The sequence below is a fragment of the Homo sapiens genome, chromosome 6 (genome assembly GCF_000001405.40).
Source record: "Homo sapiens chromosome 6, GRCh38.p14 Primary Assembly".
In the NCBI taxonomy this organism is placed as follows: domain Eukaryota; kingdom Metazoa; phylum Chordata; class Mammalia; order Primates; family Hominidae; genus Homo; species Homo sapiens.
The window spans coordinates 133,942,686-133,953,079 of NC_000006.12; the positions used below are offsets into that span (position 1 = coordinate 133,942,686).

The 10,394-nt window shown below is 42.1% G+C and overlaps 1 protein-coding gene across 1 annotated transcript in view, besides 1 other annotated feature; it reads left to right on the top strand.

The window, feature by feature from the left end:
- TBPL1 (TATA-box binding protein like 1) overlaps positions 9,489 to 10,394 on the top strand; it is a 38,259-nt gene continuing 37,353 nt past the window's right edge. The window contains exon 1 of the mRNA NM_001253676.2: positions 9,489 to 10,045. The gene's annotated coding sequence lies outside the window, so the exon portion shown is untranslated. The remainder of the gene's footprint in view (positions 10,046 to 10,394) is intronic.
- Positions 9,537 to 9,646: a silencer, noted in NCBI's record as "silent region_17555". NCBI's record gives its function as "represses an Ori minimal core promoter by ATAC-STARR-seq in GM12878 lymphoblastoid cells {active_cell/tissue: GM12878}" and the evidence as "EXISTENCE:reporter gene assay evidence [ECO:0000049][PMID:35858748]".

Below are 10,394 nucleotides of genomic sequence, written 5' to 3' on the forward strand. Positions count from 1 at the left end.
TTTTATATACTTCAAAATAGTGTTAATATTTATTAGTTTTATATTAGTTGCAAAATGAATTAGTTTTGAAATAACCAACTGAACTTTTGTTTCAAGAAGGTTACTTAAATGATAAATGATGATAGATTTGCTAAGTGCCCTGATTTAATTACTATACAATGTAATTTGATACATACAATGTATCAAAACATGACTATGTACTCCATATGTACAATTATTGTCAATTTAAAAAGTACATATTTATCTCCATACTTTCAAAACTCCATATTTTACTTTCAAAACTAGAAATACATATTTATCTCCATACTCTTTCAAAATTTAATTAAATTAACAAGAAATAGAAACATAAAAATTAATTCATAGCAGCACTAAAAACCAGAAGACTGGCACAATGGATAATTTCTGGATTATTTAAAGTAGATATCATATCAAGTGTTAATTTTGAGGAGGAAAGTAGAATGGCAGGAGTAAGAAGACTAAAGGAATCTGTGTGTGTGTGTGTGTGTGTGTGTGTGTGTACTGAATTTCTACAAAGAAAATGTATTTATGTATAATCATTTATAAATAAACTGTAAGGATACTGGATCCGGATTTGACAATAAAACCTAACAGAGCTGAGGATTTTTAAAACCTATACATTTGGCACATCTCATTAAAAACACCTCCAAAAGTGGCCTAAGATCAGAGATAGTGGGAACCCATGTGGAATTTATTTTTGTTATGAAATAAAGATCTTATCATATATATTTTTTAAAATAACCAATTGACATAATAACATTTATTAGTAGTTTATCCTTTTCCAACAGAGTTGAAATGCCACCTTTATTATTTACTAGATTCCTTAAATACATGGATCTGTTTTTTCTATTATTTTCCACTCATATTTTTGTCCATCCCTGTCCCAATACTACACTATATTAATTATTATTGCTTTTCAGTGTGTTTTTGTATCTAGAGGGCCTTTTTTTTTTTTTTAAGACAGGGTCTCATGCAGGCTGGAGTGCAGTGGCACCATCACAGCTCACTGCAGCCGCAACCTCTTGGGTTCAATCGATCTTCCCACCTCAGCCTCCCCAGTAGCTAGGATTACAGGTGCATACCACCATGCCTGGCTAATTTTTGTATTTTTTGTAGAGACGAGGTTTTGCCATGTTTCCTAGGCTTGTCTCAAACTTCTAGGTTCAAGTGATCCACCCACCTCGGCCTCCTAAAGTGCTACGATTACAGGTATGAGCCACCACATCTGGCTGGCAGGTTTAAAAAAAAAAAAATTTTTTTTTCTTTTCTTTTTTTTTTTTTTTTTTTGCGACAAGGTCTTACTCTGTCACCCAGGCTGCAGTGCAGTGGCATGAACAGAGTTCACTGCAGCCTTGAATTCCTGGGGTCAAGGAATCTTCCTGCCTCAGTCTCCAAGTAGCTAGGACTACTAATATTTTATAGAGGCGAGGTCTTGCTATGTTGCCCAGGCTGATCTCAAACTTCTGGCCTCAAGTGATTCTACCATCTTGACCTCCCAAAGTGCTGGGATTACAGGCATGAGCCACTGTGCCTGGTCCCTGGCAGTCTTAATGTATTTTTTTTTCCCAAAATTTTCTGTTGTGCTCTTGCATTTTCTTTTCCAGATGAAATTTAGAATCCGATTAATTTTATAAAAATTATCATTGGCTGTGGACTGGGATAACATTAAATTTGTAGCACATTTGAGGAGAATTGATATCTTCATACTACTGAGCTTTTCATTAAGTCAGGAGGTGTCCAATCTTTTGGCTTTCCTGGGCCACATTGGAAGAATTGTTTTGGGCCACATGTGAAATATACTACCACTAATGATAGCTAATGAGCAAAAAAAAAAAAAAAAAATTCACAAAAAACTCTCATAGTGTTTTAAGAAAGTTTACAAATTATTGTTGGGCCACATTCAAAGCTGTCCTGGGCCACATGTGAACTGCAGGCCTCAAGTTGGACAAGCTTGGTGAAGTAGTATTACACTTGCTTTCCTTTTCTCTCCACCTTTTGTCTCTGCTGCTCTCTGCATGTCAGCTTTGTTATCTGCTAGTGCATATCATCTTCCTATTCACAGAAGATATGTCAGCCTATTGCTTTCAGTTCACATCCTCCCAGTTTTACTACCAGAAAAGGAAATTGCTCTTTTTCCTAGCTGCACTTCAGTTAATCCTGGGTAGGATACTCTTTGGTCTGGATTGGTCATATACCTTCTTCCCACCAATCACAGTGGTGAGGAAGGTGGGGTAATGAGTCCAGTCAGGGGAGATAAACCATACAGTAATTTGAATAGAGACAATAATATAAAGAATTTTAAACTATAGCAGGGGATTGGAGTATTGAGCAAATATCTAGGAAGAAGGCAAGAAAACTCTAAATACATAAATAGTATGTATAAGGTGCAGGTACTACTCCTAGGGCTGAGATGGGGCACCCAAAGAGCTTCCCTTCATGTCCTCCTAGCCCCTCAACCTCCCCCCAACCCCCGCTCCCCCTCATCATGGCTGAGCTCCAGCCCTTATTGGAGAGGGCATGGCCAGGGCTCACTGAATGCCTTGGAAACTATGATGCTTCACAGACTGGAAATCCACCCTCTAGGTGCTGGGGAAGCAGTTCACTGGAGGCACCCGACAGGGCAGAGGTGGGGGTGTTGTTGCAGGAACTGGGCACTGGAGGAGCTGCATGTGTTGCAAGAATCAGATGCCAGAGAAGCTGCTCACATTGCAGCAGCCACATGCACTTCAGAAACCCGCCTGACTACTCAGCTTCCATATGCACCTTTCTGCAACAAACAATGCTATCTTTCTATGTAATAAGATACAGCTATCTTCTTACCAGTGAAGTTTATGCTTTCCCCAAAATGAGGAAAGGCAGTCCTGGGAGTAATTGTATCCATCACTGGCTATATTATTAATCCTCATAATCAATTCCACCAAATATGGTTACCTAAAGACAAATTGTGAAGTTAACTTCTGTGGAAAGTTGCATTGTGGCCTCAAAAAGATCTAAGTCCTAAACCCCAATACCTGGGACTGGAACTTTATTTGGAAACAGTCTTGGAAGATGTTATTAAATCTTGAGATTAGCCAGGCACAGTGGCTCATGTCTGTAATCCCAGAACTTTGGAAGGCTGAGGCAATGCGTGGCTCACTTGAGCTCACTAGTTCGAGACCAGCCTGGGCAATATAGTGAGACTCCCATCTCTTCAAAAAATACAAAAATTAGCCAGGCATGGTGGTGTGCACCTGTGGTCTCAGCTACTCTGGAGGCTGAGATGGGAAGATAGCTTGAGCTCTGGAGGCAGATGTTGCCGTGAGCCAAGATCGTGCCACTGCACTCCAGCCTGGGCAATAGAGCCAGACTTTGTCTTAAAAAAAAAAAAACATCTTGAGATTATCCTGGATTTAGGGTGGGTTGTGAATTCAAATATTGGTATCCTTATTAAAGAAAGAAGAGAGGAATATGAGACACAGAGACACTCAGAGGAGAAAACAATGTGAAAATAAGGCAGAGATGAGAGTGATGCATGAAAATCCCAAGGATGCCAAAGATTGCCAGGCAGCCACCAGGAACTAGGAAAAAGGCCTGGAACGTATTCTCCCTCGGAGCTTCTGAAAGAAACCAACCCTGCTAACACCTTGATTTCAGATGTCTAGCCTCTAGAACTGTAAGAAAATAGATTTATGTTTTAAGCTACCGAGTTTTTGGTAACTCTATTGTAGCAGCCCTAGGAAAATAACACAAGTGCCAAGAGTTTGAATAAAAAATTAAAATGGGGAAGGAGTGAAAAGAAAATGGTTAGTAAATACAAATCAACACATATATATATAATAAGCCAACAGAAAATATGTAAAGTTACTGCATTTCTATAATTCCTCGTTTCTATAATTGTTCACAAGACTATAAGTCCTCATTTCTATAATTGTTCACAAGGCTATAATTGATATCTACAGCTTTCCCCCCACCTCTACCCATTCTGTATTTCCTCTGCCCTCAGCCAGAAACTCAGCTGGTCAGGATTCTTGATGGAGTAATCTAAACCTTCATTTCCAAAAGTTCTAAGTCCTCAAACACCCTACCTTTTATTTTCAGTTGCTGTGTTTTTTATTTATCTTAATATTGGACACGGAAGTACTGAGAGGATCCCTAGAGGATCCCCTGGGTTCTAGACTGTACTCCTTGCTCCCATTGTCTAGAAGCTAGCCAATTTCCTCTTAGTTATCAGGATCCATCGCTCCAGCCAGTGGACTACCTCCTGTTTTTGCCTTTTGCTTCAGTGGTGTAAGGAAATGGCCAAGTGGTAGTCTCATAGTCTATTACGGCAAAACCATTGTTGCATCTCCTGATGGAAGCACTCTTCCCTTGGAGGCTGAGGTCTCTAACCCAGCAGAAGACAGAGTTTCCAGGTAAGGAAGAAAAAATTCTGAGAGTAGGTGATACTATAAGAAGAGCTACTCTTACTGCCATAACTAGATTCAAATGTATCTTGGCTATGAGAAAGACAGCAACATATAATGGTCTCTGACTCAAAACATATCATTTAAGACAGAAACTCATTTTCCAGGGTATTGTCTTCCAGCTAAGATCATAATTGAGTCTTCAGTAAGCCATTTCACCATTCAGTTATGCCAGCTGCTTCCAAATGATGGTATATATGGTAAGCCTCGTTAATTCTATTGGCATGATCCATTGCTGCACTTCCTTTGCTGTAAAATGAGTTCCCTAATCAAATGCAATGTTGAGTAGAAAGCACTGATGGTAGATAGGGCATTTTGTGAGTTCATAGATAGTAGTGCTGGCAGAAGCATTATAAGCAGTAAAGGCAAATCCATTTCCAAAATATGTGATTATTCCAATTAAGATGAATCTTTGCTCCCTCTATGATGGAAGAAGTCCAATGTAATCAACCTGCCACCAGATGGCTGGTTCATTACCCCTGGGAATGGTGCCATATCAGGTACTGAATGTTGTTCTCTGCTCTTGAAAGATTAACCAGTTGGCAGTAGTGCTGGCAAGGTAAACTTTGGAAAGGGGAATTCCATGTTGTTGAGCACATGCATAGTCTCCATCCCTACCACTGTGGCCACTTTGTTCATAAGCCCACTGAGCAAGCACTGGTTGGTTGGGCAAAGATGCTGACTGATATCCACAGAGTGTCCACCTGATTATTAGGAGTCTCCTCAGCAATGGATACATTTAATGTAGCAGATATACTTCATAGTTTTTAAACATTCAGGTAAGTCCTTCCAGATATCTCTTTCCCACACTTCCTTGTTGCCTATTTTTCAATGTCATTCTTTCCAAGTCACAGACTATCTATACAAATCATTAGCCACTGCCCATTCTGGTCATCTCTCGCTCCAGACATGCTGGGTAAACAAATGTACTGTTTGAATTATGCCCACCTGGAGGAGCTGCCTTCACCACTGCCCTTCCGGCGCCTGACTAGGGCTGGGATAGCCACCTGTGCTGCAGAAGATGGATTCTAGAGAGGCCTTCCATGCTGCAGGAGCCTGTCAGGGAAGCACACTGGAACCAGAAAGTAAACCCTTTCCTATTTCAATGCGTCTCTAGCATTCTCTATGGACAGAACTTACCATTGTGGTAGGTAGACCTACCTACCACATAGAGAATGCTGAGAGAAGTAGTAGAAGCCTATTTTAAGGGGTCAGATCCATCTATATAGAACAAGCATGAAAAGTGAATTTGGAACTGAGAGGCAACAAATAAATTACAGCACAGGTACTATAGAGCTGGCTAGCTTAGGTAGAAAAACTACCTCTCTGTCAATCACCGTGGCTATTGCAGCTCCCATTTGGTCTATCATTAGACTGGGGATAGGCAGAGAAGAAAAGTAGTTCTCCCAAAATAAGAGGGTGAAGCACTTTTCCCAAAAGAAGAGAGGAGTTCTGGGCTAACAAAACAAAAATGTTCCCTACACTTCACCCTTTGACTGCTCAGTGCATGCATGAACACACACACACACACACACACACACACCCTGGTTTCTCCATACCCAGTCCCTCCCTAGTGAGAGGAGAAAACTCAGTCACATCCCGATATTGAATCCAGCCTCAAATTCAGGATCTTTGAGTACTGTCAATCTTGATGAGGTCCAGATGTAGCTAAATAATGAATAATGAATGTATCCCTAGAGTACAAATGTATGTTAAAGGTGTAGGGGGTGGGGGGCACTAGATAACAAAAACTAATGAGAAAACAGAAAAAGGAAAAGCAACATACAATGGTTGTGAGCATATACCATATCCTGCTGGACAAGAGTAAGAAGAGTAAGACAGACTTCGCTTCTACGGCAAAGAATCAAGATCTCTGTCAGCCAAGCAACGTGTCAAGATTTTCCTTCTCAAAGATCCTGCCTCAGAGATGTAGTGAAAGGAATCCTGGCAGCCATTAGGTAGCCATCTTTCTATCAGGAATGGAGACTGGGACGTTGCCTTTAAGACAGCACAACAGTAGGTACCTTTTGCCAGGCTGAGGAGGAATTTCTAGCGATACCTTAAAACTTGACTTGGCTGCCAGTCAGTGTCATTTGGCGAAATCCATTAGCTTGTTATCAGAAATCTCACTAAGACTTCAGGTTCAAATATGGACACTACCCTTCCTGTTTTGATCTCTTGAAAACTAGCCTGGCAGCTCCATGAAATCTCCCTGGATATCTTAGTTCAATGGCTTTTGTCATAGGCTCTCCAAGGGTGAGGAAGAGAACAGGCTGGGATTATGAAGCTAGGTTATCGTATTGGATGCCAGCCCTTAAGTTGTATACCACTCAACTGGTATAATGGGAGGACTTACCTTTTTCCATTGATAAGGAAGCATAGCAGAAGATATTTGGGAAGAGTTCTGAGGAATGAAGCATCCATGACTCCATTGCTAATTCCTACTTAGTGTATTAACTTATAGACGGCAGAAATTTTCGTTATTTCACTTGGCAGAGTAGATATTATCTGATCCTTAGGAATACAGGATAACTAAACCACTAGAAAAAGAGCTCCTCAACAATGCTTTGTAATTTACATCTCACTATTGCTGGTTTCTTTCAGAAAGGCCATGCTGAGCTAGTTTGTCTCTCTCATGGCACTGAAGCAAGAAGTAGCCAACATATTCCAATAGCCCGTTTGTTTGTTTGTTTTGTTTTGTTTTTGCCAATTTCCCTAAAGTTAGAGCCTTACTGGACATAACAAATAATCTACCAGTGTTTTTCAAAGTCTCTAGGGTGAAGAATCAATTTTTGGATTATTTTTAATTACCAGCCCATTGCAGACAAATATTTTCATAAATACAAAACTGCATGCTTAGATAGCCCTGTGATGTCAAATTATTAAACGTTTCCAAATCCTCCTCTCACTTTCCATATCTCTTTCATTGTTGACTAGTAGAGCTTGCAGACTGGCTTTGGTCTGTACATCACATTTTTAGTAGCACTGATAAAACCAATAAAACTTGCTACTTTCCAAGCCTGGGATGGATGACTCCTCACTGTCCCCACTTCCTTTACTAGGCCAGTTCTACATTTTAGGGTTGTGATGGTTAATACTGAGTGTCAACTTGATTGGATTGAAGGATGCAAAGTATTGATTCCGGATGTGTCTGTGAGGGTGTTGCCAAAGGAGATTAACATTTGAATCAGTGGGATGGGAAAGGTAGACCCACCTTTAATTTGAGTGGGCACCATCTAATCAGCTGCCAGTATGGCCAGGATATAAAAAGCAGGCAGAAAAACCTGAAAAGGCTAGACTGTCTTACAGTCTACATCTCCCAGCCTACATCTTTCTCCCATGCTGGATGCTTCCTTGAACATCGAACTCCAAGTTCTTCAGCTTTGGGTCTCAGACTGGCTTCCTTGCTCCTCAGCTTGCAGACAGCCTATTGTGGGACCTTGTGATCATGTGAGTTAACTACTACTTAATAAACTCCCATATATATATTTTATTAAGTAGTAGTTATATACATACATAACAGGATATATATGTCTATCCTAATAGGATAGACATATATATCCTATTAGTTCTGTCCTTCTAGAAAACCCTAATACAAGGGTCAGCAATCACAATTCCTATTTCTAGGTTATCAATTTCTGTACTGATCAATAGTCTTGGATGAGAACATATACTGCATATTCTAACTTTACAATGCATTGTCTCCTAGCTGGCACCTGAATAATGGGTCACATTATAAGAGCAGTGAAGCCCATGGCCTTTGGTTAGAGGAATGGTGTATGGGATAATGTGATAGGTCTATTATTATTATTATTATTTTGTATAAATTTGGAAGTACAAGTACAGTTTTGATGCATTGATATGTTGCATAGTGGTTGAAATCTGGGCTTTTAGTGTTAACCATCACCGGAATAGTATAATAGGTCTATAATTAATAGGGAATAGTGCTTGCAGCAAAACCAAATCCCATTCCAGAATGTGGAACTAATGTAGGGAAGCAAACTATTGGCTGATCCATGACAAAAGGGAGTCTAAAGTAATTGACATTCCTGCTTCTAGGTATTTGGCTGGTCCCCTTGAAGGAGAATGCCTCGTAAGGACCTTAGAACTTGTCGCCATTGCTGTAACGTTGACTTTTCAGGAGTGGCAGTAGCCACTGGAATAGAGAGTCTCCCCTGCCGTTTCCTTGGCAAATCATGTTATTTTCCAGGCTAAAACTCCACTTTCCCTAGCACTTGGAAGAAAGTCCAAACTCCTTCTATGGTCTACAAGGCACTGAAAGTTCAAGACCTTAATTTCCCTCCAATTTCAATGACTGTCATTCTTCCTTTGCACTGTTTCCTGATGCCCTAGCCACACTAATACCCCAGCACAGCAAGTACTCAGCATATCTTGTTCCCTCTGACTGGAACACTCTACATACATTCTTCCCACTCCCATCCCTTTTAGAAATTGGCTGAGATGTTACCTCCTAAAAGTCCTCTCCCCACCACCACACAGACATTACTTTCTAACCCAGCTTCTTGTTCACTTTCTTTATTAAACCTGACCCAACTATAATCACTATCCCTTGAAAAATAAATTAGTACAGAAATGAAAACAAACTCCATCATTCTACGGAGCTTTCAAATGCTCGAATATGTTTCTGAACACTCAGAGGGGAAAGCAAAAAATCAAGAGGCATCCTTGGAGATCTCGTAAATAATAAAATACCTAAATGGTTGCCTACTGTCAAAACCCCAAGAATTCAGCCCACGTCTTCTCTTTTAAAAAGGCAGTGGCATTTTCATTTTTTTCATCTGATTCCCACCAATCAGAGGCCAGGTACCCATGAACCCGGCTCGGCGTGGTCTTTTAATAATTAAATCAGGGCTGCCATTGACCTCAACTAACGCCAGGGGCTTCTGACTGCAGCCGAGCTCTGGTGGAAAGGCCGATGCCGGCCTGAGAGTGGGAAACGTGGGGCCGGGAGCCGGGGGCTTCCGCGCGGCGTGGCGTGGCGTGGCGTGGCGTGGCGCCCTCAGGGCCGTTACGCGATTTTCGCTCCCGCGGGCAGCGCCTCTCAGGCCACTCCCGAGGGACCCCGAGGACGCACTCGGGCCCCAGGGCGACGGTTCAAACGGGCCATTGTGCGCCCCCGGGGTCCCCCGGCCCCTGCAGGGCTACTTGGGCGCAGAGCCGCGGAGGGTCTCCGTTCCTAGAGGTCCTCCTATCCCGGGCTGCCTGAGTCCTCGCCAGCATCCGCCCTCTCCCACTCCCATCCTTCCTGGATCCGCCTCTCGGTTCCCGAGGGACAGTCCCGACCGCAAACCCACGTAGAGTAAGGAATGTGGGACAGGCGACAGAAGTGGCATACGGTCCTGCGTTATCCCTCCGTCTCGCCACACCTTGTGTCTCCATCTCTCCCCACTTCCTTCCCTCCGTCTGTCATCTGTCATCCCCGGTCGCTCTAAGACCAGGATTCCAATTCGCCTAGTGAGGAATCTCACTAGGGGAATTTATCGCGACATCATAAATTAACGGGTTCATTTTGACTGAAAAAGCGAAGGACTTTTTTCAGGCAGAAAACAAGTCTCGTCTGGACGGTAAGGACTAGCTTTAGCAATTATATAATGGGGGGTGGGGAGGACCTTTTGTATAAATTTAATGAGCTGATGAGAAAGTTCTACGGTTTTGACAAAAAAGTCCACCTAAATATTCGACTGTATGCCAGAAATTACTACACGTTTAGATATCAACTAAAAATATACAAAGGATACACGGTGTTTTCAGAACCCTTTCAAGCGGTTCTTAAACAAAAAAGTCTAGTCCGATGCCCATTAGCGCCGCCCCCATCCCACCTCTTACCTCCCACCGAGCCCAGCGGGTGGGCAGGAGGGGCCTGATTTGGGGACCAGGAAGGAGGAAGGAAGGGTGGGGGCGGGGGACGGGGAA